The 21579-nt window shown below is 39.0% G+C and overlaps 1 long non-coding RNA gene and 1 pseudogene across 3 annotated transcripts in view; one reads left to right on the forward strand and one right to left on the reverse strand.

The window, feature by feature from the left end:
* Positions 1-21579, reverse strand: part of LOC107985251 (uncharacterized) — a 195120-nt gene that overhangs the window by 81053 nt on the left and 92488 nt on the right. Inside the window, exon 1 of one of the 3 annotated variants that reach the window (XR_007066840.1) lies at positions 10886-12275. The exons of the other annotated variants lie outside the window; for them this stretch is intronic. This is a non-coding gene — a long non-coding RNA (uncharacterized LOC107985251). Of the gene's footprint in view, positions 1-10885; positions 12276-21579 lie in introns of those variants that run through there. 3 annotated transcript variants of the gene reach the window in all.
* On the forward strand, positions 17736-21140 carry C4BPAP2 (C4BPA pseudogene 2; annotated as a pseudogene).

Genomic DNA, 21579 nt, shown 5'->3' on the forward strand with positions numbered 1-21579 from the left:
GTGATGAATGCAGAAGCCTCAGTAGCTGATTCAATCAACTGGAAGAAAGGGTATCAGTGATGGAAGATCAAATGAATGAAATGAAGTGAGAAGAGAAGTTTAGAGAAAAAAGAATAAAAAGAAATGAACAAAGCCTCCAAGAAATATGGGACTATGTGAAAAGACCAAATCTATGTCTGACTGGTGTACCTGAAAGTGACAGGGAGAATGGAACCAAGTTGGAAAACACTCTGCAGGATATTATCCAGGAGAACTTCCCCAATCTAGCAAGGCAGGCCAACATTCAAATTCAGGAAATACAGAGAACGCCACAAAGATACTCCTCGAGAAGAGCAACTCCAAGACACATAATTGTCAGATTCACCAAAGTTGAAATGAAGGAAAAAATGTTAAGGGCAGCCAGAGAGAAAGGTTGGGTTACCCTCAAAGGGAAGCCCATCAGACTAACAGCTGATCTCTTGGCAGAAACTCTACAAGCCAGAAGAGAGTGGGGGCCAATATTCAACATTCTTAAAGAAAAGAATTTTCAACCCAGAATTTCATATCCAGCCAAACTAAGCTTCATAAGTGAAGGAGAAACAAAATACTTTACTGACAAGCAAATGCTGAGAGATTTTGTCTCTCAGGCCTGCCCTAAAAGAGCACCAGGCCTGCCCTAAAAGAGCTGCTGAAGGAAGCACTAAACATGGAAAGGAACAACCGGTACCAGCCACTGCAAAAACATGCCAAATGGTAGAGACCATCGAGGCTAGGAAGAAACTGCATCAACTAATGAGCAAAATAACCAGCTAACATCATAATGACAGGATCAAATCCACACATAACAATATTAACCTTAAATGTAAATGGGCTAAATGCTCCAATTAAAAGACACAGACTGGCAAATTGGACAAACAGTCAAGACCCATCAGTGTGCTGTATTCAGGAAACCCATCTCACATGCAGAGACACATAGGCTCAAAATAAAGGGATGGAGGAAGATCTACCAAGCAAATGGAAAACAAAAAAAGGCAGGTGTTGCAATCCCAGTCTCTGATAAAACAGACTTTAAACCAGCAAAGATCAAAAGAGACAAAGAAGGCCATTACATAATGGTAAAGGGATCAATTCAACGAGAAGAGCTAACTATCCTAAATATACATGCACCCAATACAGGAGCACCCAGATTCATAAAGCAAGTCCTTAGAGACCTAGAAAGAGACTTAGACTCCCACACCATAATAACGGGAGACTTTAACACCCCACTGTCAACATTAGACAGATCAACGAGACAGAAAGTTAACAAGGATATCCAGGAATTGAACTCAGCTCTGCACCAAGAGGACCTAATAGACATCTACAGAACTCTCCACCCCAAATCAACAGAATATACATTCTTCTCAGCACCACACCGCACTTATTCCAAAATTGACCACATAGTTGGAAGTAAAGCTCTCCTCAGCAAATGTAAAAGAACAGAAATTATAACAAACTGTCTCTCAGACCACAGTGCAATCAGACTAGAACTCAGGATTAAGAAACTCACTCAAAACCGCTCAACTACATGGAAACTGAACAACCTGCTCCTGAAGGACTACTGGGTACATAAAGAAATGAAGGCAGAAATAAAGATGTTCTTTGAAACCGACGAGAACAAAGACACAACATACCAGAATCTCTGGGACACATTCAAAGCAGTGTGTAGAGGGAAATTTATAGCACTAAATGCCCACAAGAGAAAGCAGGAAAGATCTAAAATTGACACCCTAACATCACAATTAAAAGAACTAGAGAAACAAGAGCAAACACATTCAAAAGCTAGCAGAAGGCAAGAAATAACTAAGATCAGAGCAGAACTGAAGGAAATAGAGACACAAAAAACCCTTCAAAAAATCAATGAATCCAGGAGCTGGTTTTTTGAAAAGATCAACAAAATTGATAGACCACTAGCAAGACTAATAAAGAGGAAAAGAGAGAAGAATCAAATAGACACAATAAGAAATGATAAAGGGGATATCACCACCAATCCCACAGAAATACAAACTACCATCAGAGAATACTATAACCACCTCTACGCAAATAAACTAGAAAATCTAGAAGAAATGGATAAATTCCTTGACACATGCACCCTCCCAAGACTAAACCAGGAAGAAGTTGAATCTCTGAATAGACCAATAACAGGCTCTGAAATTGAGGCAATAATTAATAGCTTACCAACCAAAAAAAGTCCAGGACCAGACGGATTCACAGCCGAATTCTACCAGATGTACAAGGAGGAACTGGTACCATTCCTTCTGAAACTATTCCAATCAATAGAAAAAGAGGGAATCCTCCCTCACTCATTTTATGAGGCCAGCATTATCCTGATACCAAAGCCTGGCAGACACAACAAAAAAAGAGAATTTTAGACCAATATCCCTGATGAACATGGATGCAAAAATCCTCAATAAAATACTGGCAAACCGAATCCAGCAGCACATCAAAAAGCTTATCCAACATGATCAAGTGGGCTTCATCCCTGGGATGCAAGGCTGATTCAGTATATGCAAATCAATAAATGTAATCCAGCATATAAACAGAACCAATGACAAAAACCATATGACTATCTCAATAGATGCAGAAAAGGCCTTTGACAAAATTCAGCAGCCCTTCATGCTAAAAACTCTCAATAAATTAGGTATTGATGGGACGTATCTCAAAATAATAAGAGCTATCTATGACAAACGCACAGCCAATATCATACTAAATGGGCAAAAACTGGAAGCATTCCCTTTGAAAATTGGCACAAGACAGGGATGTCCTCTCTCACCACTCCTATTCACCATAGTGTTGGAAGTTCTGGCCAGGGCAATCAGGCAGGAGAAGGAAATAAAAGGTATTCAATTAAGAAAAGAGGAAGTCAAATTGTCCCTGTTTGCAGATGACATGATTGTATATCTAGAAAACCCCATCGTTTCAGCCCCAAATCTCCTTAAGCTGACAGGCAACTTCAGCAAAATCTCAGGATACAAAATCAATGTACAAAAATCACAAGCATTCTTATACACCAATAATAGACAAACAGAGAGCCAAATCATGAGTGAACTCCCATTCACAATTGCTTCAAAGAGAATAAAATACCTAGGAATCCAACTTACAAGGGAAGTGAAGGACCTCTTCAAGGAGAACTACAAACCACTGCTCAATGAAATAAAAGAGGATACAAACAAATGGAAGAACATTCCATGCTCATGGGTAGGAAGAATCAATATCATGAAAACGGCCATATTGCCCAAGGTAATTTATAGATTCAATGCCATCCCCATCAAGCTACCAATGACTTTCTTTACAGAATTGGAAAAAACTACTTTAAAGTTCATATGGAACCAAAAAAGAGCCTGCATTGACAAGTCAATCCTAAGCCAAAAGAACAAAGCTGGAGGCATCATGCTACCTGACTTCAAACTATACTACAAGGCTACAGTAACCAAAACAGCATGGTACTGGTACCAAAACAGAGATACAGACCAATGGAACAGAACAGAGCCCTCAGAAATAATGCCGCATATCTACAACCATCTGATCTTTGACAAACCTGACAAAAACAAGCAATGGGGAAACGATTCCCTATTTAATAAATGGTGCTGGGAAAACTAAACTGGCTAGCCATATGTAGAAAGCTGAAACTGGATCCCTTCCTCACACCTTATACAAAAATTAATTCAAGATGTATTAAAGACTTAAATGTTAAAGATGAAAACAATAAAAACCCTAGAAGAAAACCTAGGCAATACCATTCAGGACATAGGCATGGGCAAGGACTTCATGTTGAAAACACCAAAAGCAATGGCAACAAAAGCCAAAATTGACAAATGGGATCTAATTAAACTAAAGAGCATCTGCACAGCAAAAGAAACTACCATCAGAGTGAACAGGCAACCTACAGAATGGGAGAAAATTTTTGCAATCTACTCATCTGACAAAGGGCTAATATCCAGAATCTACAATGAACTCAAACAAATTTGCAAGAAAAAAACAAACAACCCCATCAAAAAGTGGGCGAAGGATATCAACAGACACTTCTCAAAAGAAGATATTTATGCAGCCAAAAGACACATGAAAAAATGCTCACCATCATTGGCCATCAGAGAAATGCAAATCAAAACCACAATGAGATACCATCTCACACCAGTTAGAATGGCGATCATTAAAAAATCAGGAAACAACAGGTGCTGGAGAGGATGTGGAGAAATAGGAACACTTTTACACTGTTGGTGGAACTGTAAACTAGTTCAACCATTGTGGAAGTCAGTGTGGCGATTCCTCAGGGATCTACAAGTAGAAATACCATTTGACCCAGCAATCCCATTACTGGGTATATACCCAAAGGATTATAAATCATGCTGCTATAAAGACACATGCACACGTATGTTTATTGCGGCACTATTCACAATAGCAAAGACTTGGAAACAACTCAAATGTCCAACAATGATAGACTGGATTAAGCAAATGTGGCACATATACACCATGGTATACTATGCAGCCACAAAAAAGAATGAGTTCATGTCCTTTGTAGGGACATGGATGAAGCTGGAAACCATCATTCTCAGCAAACTATCACAAGGACAAAAAACCAAACACTGCATGTTCTCACTCATAGGTGAGAATTGAACAATGAGAACACATGGACACAGGAAGGGGAACATCACACACCGGCGCCTGTTGTGGGGTGGGGGGAGGGGGGAGGGATAGCATCTGGAGATATACCTAATGTTAAATGACGAGTTACTGGGTGCAGCACACCAACATGGCACATGTATACATATGTAACTAACCTGCATGTTGTGCACATGTACCCTAAAACTTAAAGTATAATAATAAAAAAAAGAACAGAAAAAAAAGTAAAACTGATATAGTAAAGCATCAGTCAGCATTTATATTTTTGTAAAACATTCAGCTATTGAGATCCAGGCAGGTGTATACTGGATATCTAATTTTATAACAAAGATAGACCCTGGAATACAGAGAGCAATGAATGAATAGTATCTCACTTAAACTAGAGGTCCCAAAATTGTCTAGTTTTACATTTATGTCCATGAGCCATTTGAATTAATTTTTGTATGTGGTGAAAAGTAAGAGTCAAGAATCTTTTTTCCCTCTTATATGGACATCCAAGTGTTCTGGCATCATTTGTGGAAAAGACTACCCTTTTTTATGGAATTACCATTGCAATTCATCTATAACCAAGTAACCATTTACGTATTGGTGTATTTCTCTAGTCTATTTTTTCCATTGACCTATATGTCCATTCCTATGCCAGTTTCAAAATGTCTTGACTATTGTGGCTTTATAATAAGCCTTCAAATCAGAAGTGTGAGTTCTTCAGCTTTTTTTTTTTTTTTTTTGCAAAATGTTTTGGTTTTCTAGGTCTTCGGCATATCCATGTACATTTTAGAAATAGCTTGTCAATTTCTATATAAATATCTACTGGGATTTGGATTAGAATGCTTTGACTCTGTAGATCAATTTGGGGAGAAGTGACTTAATAATATTGTATATAAATCCATGAACACGGCATATTACTCTATTTATTTTCTTTGATTTTTTTCATGAATGTTTTGGAGTTTTCATCTGCCATGCACCATAAAAAGCTTTAATGTATGTCCATTTAAAAACTTTTTATTTTGAAATAATTATAGATTCATAGAAAGTTATAAAAATAATATAGAGAAATCATATATATGTGTCTATATAATATATATACATATAATATATATAATACATACATATATAATATATAATATATACATATATAATATATGTGTATATACAATATATACACATATATATGTGTATATATAATATATACACATATATATGTGTATATATAATATATACACATATATATGTGTATATATAATATATACACATATATAATACATACATACACACACACATACACACACACACACACATATATATATATATATATATATATATATATATATATATATATATACAGAGAAATCCCATGTACCCTTCACCCAGTTTCCTCTCTTTGGTTATATCTTATGAAACTATAATATGATACCAAAACTAGAAAATTGACATTGGTTTAATATGTGCTTATGGTTCTATGCTATTTTATCACATGCATAGACTCATGTAACCACCACAGCAATCAAAATACAGAATTATTCCATCACCACAGAGATTCCCCCTTGAGCTACTACTTTAAAATCACACCTGGCCCTCTCCCCTGGCCCACCATTCCTAACTCTGGCAATTAGTAATCTCTTCTCCCTCTCTATCATTTTGTCCTTTTGACAATGTTTTACAAATGAAATCACACAGCATGTGACCTTTTGAAATTTTATTTTCACCCAGCATATTGCCCTTATGATGGTAGTGCTTTTTAAATTTCAAGTTCCAATTGTTCGTTGCAAGTGTATAGGAATATAACTGATTTTTGTATATTGATCATGTATCTGTGGCCTTATTAAATTTTCTCATAAGTACTATTAGGTTTTCTATAAATTCTCTGGGATTTACTACATAAATGATCATGTTGTTTGCAAATAAAAGGTTTTATTTCTACTTTCCCAAACTGCATGCCTTTTATTTATTTTCCTGCTTTATTGCATGGGCTATATATTCCAATAAATGTATTGGTGAGAGTAGAGATCCTTGCCTTGTTCCTAATCTTAAACATCTGTGTTTCAGCATAAAGTGATATTATTTGTAGATTTTCTGCATGGGGTTTCTTACCTCAATAGTTCTTTTTCTAAAGGTCAGGGAATTAATGTGAGTGTCCCACCAACTACTCTACATTGGGAACCATGGAAATGACCACCAGGTGGGCCATAGACACAGTGGAGATGGACATGAACTATGAATCCTTTTTTGCCTGGCCCCTGTAGCTCCTACTTGAACTATCATACTTTCTGTTCCCAGGTACCACAGGTAGCTCAAATCCAACAAGTTTCTAAAAAGCACAGTGACCAATTACTTAAATCAATTACTGAAGTTTCCATTGCGGAAGGACCAGAGAATCACTACTATGTATACCTACTGTGGGGTTGCACAGTGCTTCCTCATATGGACCTGTTCTCACTTACTGCTGAGGAAATTGTCAGAAAAAAAAAGGGCAATCAGCAAGATAAAAGGCAAGAGATCATGATTTTCTATTCTAAAAGATCTTAGAATCTTCTCTTCTAAGAGATCATGAGCCTGGAGTGGCCAGCCTCAGTCTTTGGATTGTTCATTCTTGATCTCTTTTTACATTAAGCAATCACCAGACTGGAGGGCCCTTGCCCTTAGGAACACCATATACTGTAGCCTTCTTCAAAGACTCCTACAGGTCAGGACATCCTCACCCTCCCAGGCTGCAATCCCACCTTGCTGCCCTAAATGCTTCACTCTTAAGGAGGCACTCACTCACAGTGTCATACAAGTGCAGAATCAGTACTTGCACAACCCTGAGAGCAAGTGCCTCCTTAAGTTTTGCATCCTAGGCACATTTTTTGAATCATGTCAGTCCTGACTATGCTGTCCAAAACAGGATTTTTCACCCACCTTTTGCTTCTGAAGATTAAGTAACTGCTATAAGCCCTGCTACTCTGGAATCTGTTATCCTCATTGCTATTGGGCAGGCAAATTTGGTAATAGCCCATCCTACCATAAGACGCAGCCTACAGAGGGCCAGCCACTATTGAGTTTTGCAGTGATGTTGGTCCCTGTCATGGGTGCATTCCTTGTTGGCTTGTTAAATGGTACATCCTCAGGGTTCTCATGAAGAAAATAGCTGGTGGGTCTATGGCCTTATAAAATAGATAGTTCTAACAAAATCTAATTCTCTGACACTGTGATTTCTTCCGACTTAGTTTGCCATGGCAGTTCTGGCATCTCTATCCCATTTAATATTGACCATCATTTTTCTTAAGCATCATATTAGAACTGACTCCCAGGGCACTTCCCAAGGTGTTAAATCCTGTGATATGGGAGGTTGCCCCTATGCTGATAAACTCTACCTTATCTAGCTTTAGGATCCACTCCCAGGCATACTCTCCCAGTTCCTCAGGATCCATGCCCAGGAATAATCTCCCTGTTCCTGGCAACACATGCTAGCTAGATCCCATGGCTCCTGGGTTTAATTTCTCTCTTCTTTTAGCAGGGACAGCACTTTCTCAGTCAGTTCACACTGAGATTTGACCCCAGCTATTGGCCTGGTGACTAGTGATAAGGTGGGGACAGATCTTGAGGAGGGCAATTATGGCCTTATATAGCACCTGCTTAATTTGATCCTCTGCATAGTGTATAAGCATGGGGAAAGGACACTATTATAACAAGGTAAAATGGGCCAATTATCCATCAATTAGACAGTAGGAATAAGGTTTTTATTTGAAATATACTGCACAGTGTGGTGAATATAGTAAATAATAATGTAGTGTATATAAGGGCCCTGAGTTTCAGTAGGAGACTTGGAAAGGCTAAGAATTCATCCTTTGTTGAGGTCCTGCTGTTCTTTTTAGGTAAGGTCCTGAGCCTGGTCCTCAGCATAATTAACCCTCAGCTACCTGAGATAAGAGTTTCTTTTGATAGTAACAAGGAGACCTTCTGGCTTTCACTCTTGTATTTGCATTGTGATTGATTGCTTTGTGCCTTCATTTTCAGTTAAGGGGTGCTACTCAGCCACCCAATTTCACAATCCCTATTATTGCCATTTCCATCCTACCTCTCAAATGCCAGAGACATGGCACAAGCCAGTGCATCTTCCCCATCTATGTTCCATGACAGCTCACCGGGTAAAAATGTGAATAGTTGCCCTGCTACAGCAAACGGGGCTATCGATACCCCACCTTTTACAAGTGATGGGGTCTTGATTGCCAGTTGGCTGGTGGGTGATACAATTCAAGAATCCCATCCTTAGAGTCTGCTTCCTAGTTCCAGGTGCATGTGAATTTTTAAGAATGTGCCCTTCAGGAAGAAAAATAAAATTTAAAGAAATGAAGCAGCCAAATAGGGAGGGGAAAGAACTGAGCAAGAACATGTTCACAGGAAATGCATAGCCTACACCAAATCAACAGGGGCTTGAGTACAAATTGCATCACAGGGTCATACAGACTTGAGTCAAGGGATTAGGGCTCTTGTACCCCAATACCAGTACGACATTGGTTGCTTCTTGGGGGGTGGGGCATAACTTCCTTGGTACATCAGGATTACATGGCTGCTATTATAACAAGGCATTCTCTGCAGAATGTCACAGGTATAACCCCTTAACTGCAGCACCAGCAGCAACTGGAGGGTGAGCATATCACTGGGTAAAACCCAACTGTGTTCATTTACTCCCAAGTGGCCCAGTCAGCAGACTCACAGGTAGTCATTTTGGCCAATGAGTGAAAATTATTTTGGTATAATGAAAAATCTTGGATTTTGGAATCATTCTTGGGCAGAATTTGGCTTAGTCACTAAAATATCTGAGAGATTTAGGGCAGCTTACATAATCTAGCTGAACCTGTCTCCTCATCTATGCAATGAGGAAGATTAGAGCCATGTCACAGGGTTGTTTGAGATCAATTATGATAATTTATGTAAAGTTCTGGTACATCTCATGCTCAAAAATTAAAGCCAGGTTAACAAACCTTCTGGTTAATCATTTAAATGACTTATTTATTTATTTATTTTTTGAGACAGAGTTTCGCTATGTTGCCCAGGCTGGAGTGCAGTGGTGTGATCTCACCTCACTGTAAACTCTGCCTCCCAGGTTCAAGCAATTCTTGTGTCTCAGCCTCCCAAGTAGCAGGAATTACAGACTTTCACCACCACGCCCAGCTAATTTTTGTATTTTTAGTATAGACTGGGTTTTTCCATGTTGGCCAGGCTGGTGTCAAACTCCTCGCCTCAAGTGATCTACCCGCCTCAGTCTCCCAAAGTGTTGGGATTATAGGCATGAGCCATTGCACCCCGCTAAACTACTTTACTGTGTTCCTCTTTCTAAAGGAAGAAACCACTTAGTGGATTTGTTTTCTTTTCTCTCTAGAAAGTTGAGATTTAACTGTGCTTTCATCAATATTCCAAAGACGTTTGCTCAGTTATATTTGGTAGTTCTATTTATTTTTGAGAGATAAGCATTTTGGCTATTATTGGTATGTAGTAGTCATTCCAACTTAACTGGGTAATGAAGACCACTTTGGGACAAATTCCAGAATTTACTCTCTTGTTCGAACAGCAATCTTTGTCTCTTACAGGAACAGAAACCCACGGCTGGTGGGCAAAAGATACAACTCAGATTGGTGGTTTTGTCTGTCTCACTTTAAGAGACTAAATTTAGGAAATGGTCTGGGTGAATAGCTAGGTAGTTGCAGATAGCTAAGAGAAATTTTGTCCTGTGGTTATCTTCCCGTGAAGAATAACAAATGTGCCTTTCAAAAACATATCTTTTGTTGCTTACAGGCAAAATGCTGGGTTTCACTCTGAACAAGCACCATTGAGATATTCTGTAAGTCACAATAAATCTTCCTTTCTTCCTAATTTATCATCCTCAAGCATTTAAATTTCAGGGCAAGCTTTTTCTGTGCTGCAAGCACAAACTAGAATAGTTTTCAGAGTAAGATAGTATCACAGAGTGAATCATTTGGTACATCAGAAATTCCAGGAAGTAGGAAAACGAAGTTCCCACTTACATATATTTCTTGTAAGAGTAATTATTGTTTGAACTAGATTCTTATTTTTAAAAGTAGAGACTTGTTTTACTCATTCTGGCTGGACTGTTTAGAAAAGTTTAACTTTGCAAACTTTAAAAAAAAATGTTCATTCTTCTATGGGCAGTTTATCTGCCTCGGTGAGGATATTGCTTCCTGGACAGGAACTGCTTCTCAGCCTGGTCTTTCATGCTGCGACCTCTCCTTCCTGGAGACCCACCACTTACCCTGTGTGACAGGAGCTGCAGTCCTTTTGCCTTTTGCTCTTGTTCCCTCAGAGAAGAATTATGCATATACCCACAAAGGGACTCATCACTGGCTCCGCCTGAACAGTGATAAAGTCTCAGGGAGATACATACAGAATCTCAGAGGGTGCCCCAGACTCTTCTCCCCAAGAAAGGGCCATATCAGCTCCCCTCTGTCAGAACTGTGCTCAGCATCTGGTCTACCAGTCACACTCCTTGCCCCTCCCTTTCAGTGACCCATTGTTGGGACTTTGCCAAGGCTGAACTCCTTGGCATAGGCATATTTCAATGGTTACTTAGAGAACTTTTCTTCCTCTTGATTCAAGGTATCGCAGAAGGCGGAGCCCCATTGTGTCCCCTCTGAGACTCTGCCATGTCCCTCAAGTTGCAGAGCATTTTCCCAGCACTAGGCTGGGAAATATAGTCAAATGGTGGTAGTTCACAAGATTTTCGAGAGAATAAAGTGACTATGTTATTAATAAAAATGAAGAATCTTAAAATGTCAAGGAAATTGTTCTAATTTAGATAGAAGCTGTTATTAGGTCTAAAACAACAAAGTGATCATATGCAAAAATCTTTGCAGAGCTGCTTTAGAAAGGAATAACCTTTAATTTTTAAATCAATTTCTTATATTTAAATAAACATTCCTAAATGCTTAAGATACAATTATTTTCCAATTAAGTTAGTTATACCATCTACAATCTCAGTTACTAATTGATCAGAAAAAATTTCCATCCTCAAAGCACAATATACTGCCTGCTATCACAAATTCTGAGTGAATTTGCTGAAGTAAAATTTAAGCACTTTGTAAACTATAAAGCCTTATACAAATGTAATAAGGCAGAAATTTAAATAATAATAATGATAATAAGTACTGCATTTATTTACTTTAAAAAAAGTAAAAGCTAAGGCCCAAAATGTGGCAAGGCAAGGGTTAAAAAAAAGTTTTCCTTTGTCTAGCAGCTTATTTTAAGGATAGTTATAAGATAATCCTGTCTGAATAGCCAAGGCCAAAGGAATGGGTTCCAAACACCCCTCCATTTTAGAGCAAGGTTAAAGGAAAAAAAAAAAAAAGACAAATGCTTTTACTGTTACTCTTTTCCCAGGCTTCTTGAGCATTATGTTTCACAAATGTCTATATTTAGCCAGTTTTTATTTTTCTTTCGATGCAGCTACAAGGTCACCAGCTATGCAAGATCGCAAATTATGTTATGTTATAAATTAAGTGACCTGTCACTGTATAATTAACTGCTTTTGTTTTGCTTTGGTAAGGCCGCTTATAAAAATGCCGCTCTATTTTTATTCAATGCACAGCTTTTTGGATATAAATCCTCTGAGCCGGTGCATACCTAAAAATAAACAAATCCTCCTGTACTCCTTATTGGTCTCTCCGTTCCTCAGTTTACCACAATGTTTATGGCAATCACGAAGGGACTGAAGACTGCAGGCTTACTGTCTCCTTTGGGTCTGGGGGTTGGAGCCTGGGCCTTGGGAAACCTGTGACCCCAGGCGCTGCTAGGAGAACTTCAGCCCAGAGGGGAGATCAGCTCTACCGTGACCTGGCGCCCCCTACCTAGCCGTGCAACAGAACCTAAAAGGAGCTACAGGACGATTTCAGAAACGGGACGCTTCAGGAAACGTGGTAAGGTTTTGGGAGCCCAAGGCAGGACCCGTCCCTTGGATGGAAGGGGAGCCTGATCACCTCCTGGGGTGTGCCGAATAGTCCGACCCACAGGGGCTGGGGGCGAGGGGAGTGGCTGGTCAATCCAGATGAAACTCACACCCCGCCAAGACAGGACGAGAGTGGCTTGCTAAATCAGCTAGGAATCTGGAGGTGGCGAGAGTGGCTCACCACCCCAACTAGGAATCTAGAGGTGGCGAGAGTGGCTCACCACCCCAACTAGGAATCTGGAGGTGGCGAGAGTGGCTCACCACCCCAACTAGGAATCTGGAGGTGGCGAGAGTGGCTCACCACCCCAACTAGGAATCTGGAGGTGGCGAGAGTGGCTCACCACCCCAACTAGGAATCTGGAGGTGGCGAGAGTAGCTCACCACCCCAACTAGGAATCTGGAGGTGGCGAGAGTGGCTCACCACCCCAACTAGGAATCTGGAGGTGGCGAGAGTGGCTCACCACCTCAGTTACAAACATGGGAACTAAAAGTGTGTGAAAGTGTGTAAATGGAGGGGCCTAGTTAGTCACAACAGCTGCGAAGTGGGGAGTCACAGATCTCTTAGTGTGGACTGTGTGCTCCAAGAAAGTGTGGGGCCGACTAAGACTAGTGTCTATCTGCATAGGGCTAATAGGAGCTGCGCTACAGCTCAGAGTTGTAGCAGGAATAGGGAAGTCTCCAAAGCCAAGCAGCATCTAAAAGTTTCTCCGTTCCTCAGTTTACTGCAACAGTAACACATTGTTATTCAAATATAGGGAAGTTTTTATGAATGAATGAGAAATGTATGAGATTGAGAGAACTTGCCAGAACTGGTTGAAGAGCTGTTGTTATGGAAATTAATGATTGTTATGTTATTTAAATGGAATGTCCTTTTAGCAAAGTTGTAGTTTTCTCTGTCATTAGCCAACATTGTTTCTTGAGAGAACTAATTTTTATAACATGTTAAAGTATTTATAAACATATTCCCTGAAACAGCTATTGTAGCATCAAAAATGGAGGATTTGGATGGCTTAGGGGGGAAATCTTGACCCAAAAATAATAGCTGGGTGCTCTTCTGAGAGCTAGTAGATTGACATAAAGTGCTGAAGCCATGCTTTTTTGATCATTGAGGAAGAAAGCGTGATTTATTAAGGAAGCAACTGTATTTGGAAGATAACTCTTCACATCAGAAGCATGAAAACTATTGAGGGATGGTGTTAATTTAGGTAACAGTGTCAGTACCGGATAAAGAGGCCAACTCCACCTCTGAGTTCCCTTCTTATATTCTGAGGAAATGGAGGAAGACTTTCTCCAATCTGTCAACAAGTCTTTGAATTATTTCTCCATGTTCCTACTTATTTTTTCTTTTATCTTCTGGTCCCTCAAATCTTCACATTACTTCTGATCCCAACCCCCTGAAAGGGTGTTTAATGTCTTGTCAACCTTAGCCTCCCTTTCTGATCCTACCTCCCACTTCTCTTGCAACAGCAATCTGATGCCAGAGTTGCCTATTGCCTCAGTATATTCTACCTCTCCCATTTTTTTCAATGACTCAACTTTACTCACCCTTGAAGATGTACCTCCCCCTTACTCTGTGAAGCCTTCCCTTGACAATCCAGTCCTCTGTTCTGTCACCACCTTCTCCTATAGAACTCCTTTTCTGTCCTAATCTTCTGGCACTTGTGTGACTGGTTCTATGGTATGACTATTTATATGGCTATAGTTTAACTTTTCAAATACATCACAAGTATGTCCCTTAATATTACCCAAAAAGCCTAGCAAAGAGCTCTACATATGTATTTATTTATTTATAAAAATTAAAAGCTATGTTTTCTATTTCTATAGAGGTGTTTAATCTGAGGGTTAGGAAAGGCTGTGTGGAGGCTGTGGACTTATATACAGGTGAATTTCTATTCCTCGCTACAAAAACAAACATTTCCTTTGGACTGACTGTTGCTATGCTTTCTGAGCTCCCCTGAGTTGAAACTTTGGGAGAAGAAGTGAGAGAAACAATGTTTGACTTGAGCTAATCCTTGGCCTCCTGGGTGCTTCCGACTTGCTCTTTCTCTTGTGTTTTGTGTGTGTGGAGGGGTGGGGATGGGGTCCTCTACCATCACTGAGGATCTGTTAACAATTCCCTGGGTGTGGTCAAACCCATCTCCGATTCTGGTTGACCACTTGCTTTTTCCTATCTCCTCGATATCTGGTGACTCCTAGAGGTTTTGTTTTTGTTTTATTTTGTTTTTACTGAGGTCTTTCTTCCACCCTGGTGGCTCTTTTAGACACCTGAAGACAACTCCACCATGAATTACTTTCTCATGCATCTGATTTCTAATCCCCTGGAAGTACTCACCCCTCCATTTTTCTGAATAACATCTGGAGTATAGGTTATTATACAATCTCAAAGCAGCAGAGATCTTTCATTTGTTCCCACTATCAGAACCACTGGACAGCCCATTTTTTGCATTTTAGATTTCCCTGGCAGGAGTCCAACACTAATCCACTGTGTCCCCCTGTCCAAACTGAGAGGAGCCATATTAGGCTTTTTCAGTGGGCTCCTTAGAGTCCCTCTCTCAATGTGAAGGAAAAGTGCACCCACACATTTTCCTCATGCAAGTGATGGAATGGGGCTCACAGGAAAACAAATGCTTCACTACAAAAAAAATCCTTCCCAAATATCCTTAAAATATCTTCCGTTTCTGTCATTTCAATGTTTTTTATTCAGGTGAGGGAGATAAGAGCTTTCTAACCGGTTATGAGTCACCTACTTCATCAGTGAGAGAGGGTTACTTGACTTTGCAAATAACAAGAATATTGTTTTTCAGCCAAAACTTCCATTTTACAGCCTTTTACACCTCTGAAGCTGCCACATAAAGTACTTACCTAATGCTTTCTATAGAGAGCAGAAAATAGTAGTATTCTAAGAAGGAGCAGTGGGTTTTGAACTGATAGAAGCCTGAGTTTAATCCCTAAGTTTCATTCATGTCACTGGCACTTAGTAACTGTGATCTTATGCAGAATAACTGACCTCTCTAAGGTTGTGTTTCCTTTTCTGTAGAATAAATATATGATAAACATATATAAAATGCAAGTGGCTAAGAACTCAAAATATCATTCCTATTGAGAGCCATAGGCAACCACAGGCAGGAATGATCACCGCGTGCCAGGATTGCATGTGGAGAAAGGTAGAGAGCATTGTAGTAGGGCAAATGGCAGAAGAAAAGGCACAGAAGTGAGAATGCACATGGCTTAATAGGAGAACACTGAACCGGTGAGAGTGCCTGAGAACAGTGCACACATGAAGGAGTAGTTCTTGGTGAGGATGGAGTCCATGAGAAAGGAGCCAGCAGTTTTAATTTGCTTTTTAGCAAATAAGTTGGAAACAGCTTTAACTTAGATTCAGTCCTTACAGGAACTCTTCCCTTAGTGTGGTGCTTTATCAACATACTCAAAGCTCTAAATTTATTAAATTGCACTAAATCTTGTCTGCAAAACTTTTGGCACTATAGATCATTCCTTTACTGACAGGCTAACTCAACAACTCAACATTGCATCTTTCTTTCTTTCTCTCTCTCTCTCTCTCTCTTTCTTTCTTTTTTTTTTTTGAGGTGGAGCCTTGCTCTGTTGCCCAGGCTGGAGTGCAGTGGCATGATCTTGGCTCACTACAACCTCCACCTCCCAGGTTCAAGCGATTCTCATGCCTCAGTCTCTTGAGTAGCAGGATTATGGGCATGCTCCACCACACTAATTTTTGTATTTTTAGTAGAGACGGGGTTTTGCCATGTTGGTCATGCTGGTCTGGAACTCCTGACCTCAAGTGATCTGCCCACCTCAACTTCCCAAAGTGCTCTTTGCATATTTCTTACTTCCAAATATGCCATTGTTTTGCATTGTTTCAACAAACCTCTCTCCAAAAATTGCAAAATGATAAAACATTCTCTTTGTGGAGGGGGTGGTAGTTGGAAGAGGTGGGGGGACTCAACCGGATTCATTCACTCTTTAACCATTTTCAAAGATAATCAACTCTTTTTTAAAAAGCTTATTAGAATATAATACACATATAGAAAAGTATACAAAGTGAAAATGTACAGCAACATGATTCATCAAAAATCAAACACTTAATGAAAATGTCACCCAGGTAGAGATGTAGGACATTGCCAGCCCCCAGAAGTCCCATGGGGGCCCTCCCATTTACTACTTCATCCTTCTTCAAATGTAACCATCATCCTGATTTGCAGAGTAATCATTTCTTTATTTTATTTATACTTGTTCTGTAGCTTAGTTTTGCATTTTTAAAAGCTTTAATAATGGAATAGAATTATACATTAATGGTCTGTCTGCTTTTGCTCAATGTATTTGTGAGATTCACCCATTTTTTTGTAAATAGTATCTCATTCATTTTTATTGCTGTCTAGTACTCCATCAGTTGAATGTACCATAATTTACTTATCTGTTCTAGAGTTGATGGATTTTTAGGCTCTTTCATGTTTGGTCACATTACAAATAATGTTGCTGAAAACATTTCTGAGCTTGTCTTTTAGTGCACATGTTTGTGTATTTCTGCCAAGAAAATATCCATGATTGTAATTGCCAGGTTCTAGGACATAACCACAAACTGTTTTTGGAAGTGGCTGTACCAATTTATATTTCCTTAGGTAGTTCATTGGAGTTCCATTGTGTCCTACTCATGAAAACTTTGGTATTATCATAGTTTTCAATTGTAGACATTCTGGTGAGTGTGTAGTGATTTCTCATTGTGGCTTTTATTTGTATTTCCTGATGACCCATGTGATTAAGCACCTATTAATATGTCTGTTGACAATCTGTATAGCCCCTCTATAGGAACATCTATTCAAGTCTCTCAGCTGTTTTTAAATTGCACTGTCTGCTTTTTGAAAATTAATTTGTGGCCTTTCTTTTTATTTAACCTCATGATTACTGAATATGATTCTGTTTTGGAGTAACTCCCTGTGGCTAAATTAATGCTTTTGTACCCAGAAGTTCATGAACAGTGTAAAAGTTTACTGATTTTGTCAAGGAGACGAAATGTACATCAGCAGTACAATAAGTTAATGACCTAGTTCTGCATAACGAGAAGGGTCGCTCACTGAATTGTTCATTAAATGAAACTCTAGCTCATTCTCCTCTACCTTCTCTCTCACCATTCAAGTTTGCAGAATGGTTCCTCCCATTGGCCATGGGTCCTATGAAGATGTGAGATCATTTTTTATTCTCTACTACTCTGGTGCACTGTCACTGTGATGATGGATATGTTCTAATTGGAGAGGCTGAAGTCACCTGCAGAAATTCACATTGGTCAGCTCCAGCCCCTCAATGTAAAGGTTAACTCCAAACTTACTGAGGGCCCTTGCTAAGAAGGTAGAGCCTCTATGAAAGGTCAAACAAGAGTCTCCTCCTAGACAGAGGCAGCACTTAGAAATTTACACTTTACTTATTTATTTAATTTGCATAATTAATATATACACATGGTACAATATTTTAATAGCATGAATGATCACAGTTTATCACTCTTGAACACTACTGTTATCAATGTATCTTTCAGAGGTCATCTGGAAGGCCACTTTTTGCTTGAATAAAAGTTTTGATTTAAATATAACATACTACAACACTGTGTCCAAATCTTAGGTGTACAGGTCAATAAATTATCACAAAGTGAACCCACCATGACAAACTACCACTCAAGTCAAGAAGCATCACCACTACCAGCATCCCAGAAGTGTTCCGTGTGCCCTCTCCTAGTGACTCCCCAACTTTCCTTCCCAATTAGTCTCACCTCTAGCATCACAGATTAGTTTTATCAACTTTTTAGCATTATATTTAGATTGGTGCAAAAGTCACTGCGGTTTTTGCCATTACTTTGAATATAAAGGAAATCATGTATGTATTCTTTTGTGCCTGCCTTCTTTACTCAGTATTATGTTTTTGAAAATCATCTATGTGTTCTTGCATGGGGTGATAGCTTATTCATTTTCATTGTTGTATAATCTTTGGATAAACATAACACATTTTATGTATCTTATAAAAGTTTAGGATTTTCATGTTATAGGCTATTATGAACAATGCTCTTATGAACATTCTTGCACATGACTCTTGATACAAATGTGCAAATATTTATGTTGGGAATAAACTTAAAAGTGGAATTGCTATTTCATAGAGTATGCATCTATTCATCTCTTTTTTTTTTTTTTTTTTTTTTTGAGACAAGTTCTCATTTTGTCACCCAGGCTGAAGTGTAGTGGCATGATTATAGCTCACTGTAACCTCCAACTCCTGGGTTCAAGGGATCTTCCTGCCTCAGCCTCCTGAGTAGCTGGGACTACAGGCATACACCACCATACCTGGCTAATTTTTAAAAAGTGTTTTGTAGAGATAGGGCCTTTCTTTGTTGCCCAGGCTGGTCTTGAACTCCTGGGCTCAAGTGATCCTCCTTTACCTGCCTTGTCCTCCCAAAGTGTGGGATTACAGCTGTGAGCCACCACACCCAGCCATATATTCATCTTTAGTAGATAATGCCAAATTTTGTTCAACGGTGATTGCAACAATTTAAATTTCCACAAGCAGTGTATGAGTGTTCTAATTTTGATAAATAGAAGTTCTAAATTCTAATTTAGTTCTATTTATAATTTTTTTCCTTGATGTTGGCACCTTTCATATCCTGTTTAAGAAATATTTGCCTACAGCAAGGTCACAAAAAATATTTCCTTATGTTATTTTCCAGAGCTTTATTGTTTTAACTTTTCACATTAGTATCTCCAAATCACTTGGAATTCCTGTGTGTTTATGGTGGAAAGTAGTGGTTAAAATTTGTTTTTCTCCAACGGCTGTTCAATTAATCATATAGCACTTATTTAATAAACTATACTTTCCACACAACTCTGCAGTGTGACCTTTGTTATAATTCAAGTGTCTGTATATACAGGGTTCTGTTAGTGGACTTAGAGATACAATTTTTAATTTGAGAGTATCAGTGAGGATTTGGCAAAATTTTAGTGGGCATCTACTTAAGTTTAAATGAGGAATCCTGTGGGTAAATTCCCAACATCTTTGAAGTATTCGATGTCTCCATTAGAAACCATGCATGCTCCCACCTTCTCATAATGAAGTTGACCTGATAGGAGATTTTTGGTCAACCACAAGGATAGGGTCAACCTTTTTTTTTTTTTTTAACTAATCTATTAATAGCAACTCAAGGAGCTAATTCCCCACACTGTCTCCATTTAACACAGCAAGATATTAAGAATATGAGAATAAAAATTATATACTTAGGACCATGAAAAGATCAAGGTTTGGAAATACTGTACTAATTTTGAAAACTCTGACTCTAGGACCGCAGTGACTAGGTTTACATCATAATCATGCCACCCAAAGGCTATGCAATATTAGACAAGTCACACAAACTATCTGTACCTAATTTTTCTCTTTAGCAAAATGGAGGTAATAATGTTTTGCATTAGTACTTACATTGACATATAGTATGTGCAATAACATTATTAGCATTATTATTAATCTTATTGTTATAATCATAAATAAATGGAGGTAAAGAACAACTCTCAGCATCCCATCCAGGTATAATTTATCAATGTTTCATAACTCTCAATATTCTTACTATTATAAGATCTTATTCTGAGAATCATAGGATGATCAAAATTGTGTTTCCATTATAGCTCTGTGTCTGAAACCAGAGACAGAAAATGGAAAGCTGTCTGGGTAAGGATCTGTATGTTGAACTTGAAAATGTCACCATCCAGTGTGACTCTGGCTATAAAGTGGTTGGTCCTCAAAATATCACTTTGGTTGGTCCTCAAAATATCACTTGATCAGAGCACAGAACATGGCAGGCACCCAGAGGTGCCCAGTTGTGAGTGGGTAAGTGGCACACATTTCAGGGCATCCTATCCCATTCTAAAAATGATAGTCTCCTCCAGAGCACTGTCCTAGCCAACACCAGCGAGATCTGACTTTTGGCAAGATTTATTTCGGGCACATCACTTACAGAATTAGCACCGTCACCTTTGAAGCACTTTGGTGTACTTGTTAAGGTAAGCTCAAGAAGGACCACACCCCTAGATAGGAAGGTCTCATAGATCCAGCTGACTTGACCCCCAGCCTCATACTTTCTATAATAAATGCTATGCTTTTGCTTCATTTCAGATGGGCCCATCAGAATTGTCCCTTCTGTCGCCCCTAACGAGGCCCCCTGGGTGTTGTCTGCAGCGTTGTTCCTTCCCTGCTTCACCAGCTACTGATTGCTGCCTGACGGCCGAGGGAGAATACTTTGCTGAGACCCTAGTTTCTTTGGGATTTTATTCATCTGTCCTGAGGAGGGTTTTGACATTCCGGTTTTGTGGTCATCAGTGATACATCCAGAAGAAATCTTACATATTCGGATTTCATTTGGAGAGAAGCCTCTCAAAAACTATCGCTTTATTTCATTTAGGTAATCTCTGAAGGTTGTGAGCAAGTGCTCACGGGTAGAAAGCTCATGCAGTGTCTCCCACACCCAGAGGATTCGAAAATGACCCTGGAGGTGTAAAAGCTGTCTCTGGAGATTAAACGACTGGAACACGTGTGAGACTTGAAGACGAACAATGCCAGTTAGAAACCAGTTAGGAAGGATTTTCCTTCCCTTTCCCCACAAAACAGAGAAGCAGTTATATTTCTCTCTTTAGCAATTCTGTGTTTCTCAAGTACTATTATTTACTGGGGAAAAATATCTGTGTTTAGGAGAATTCACTAATATTCTTAGTGGCACCGATCACATGAAACAATTCATAATTTTTGTCTTAGTTCAGTTTAAGTTCCTGCTTTCCTGGATTTGGTGGACTGGCTGAATAAATAATTACCTATCAAAAATCAAATTATCTTTGTTTTTACTTTGATTTCTGAGTAATGAAAAATTAGGGCTCTCTGTAAGTCATTTTCTGATGTTTCTCAGATTAACTTACTTTTCTACTTTATTGTATATGTTGTCCTCAAAAAACACATACTTGCATCCTTTATCTGAA

This window comes from Homo sapiens, chromosome 1 (genome assembly GCF_000001405.40).
Source record: "Homo sapiens chromosome 1, GRCh38.p14 Primary Assembly".
NCBI classification, from domain to species: Eukaryota; Metazoa; Chordata; class Mammalia; order Primates; family Hominidae; genus Homo; species Homo sapiens.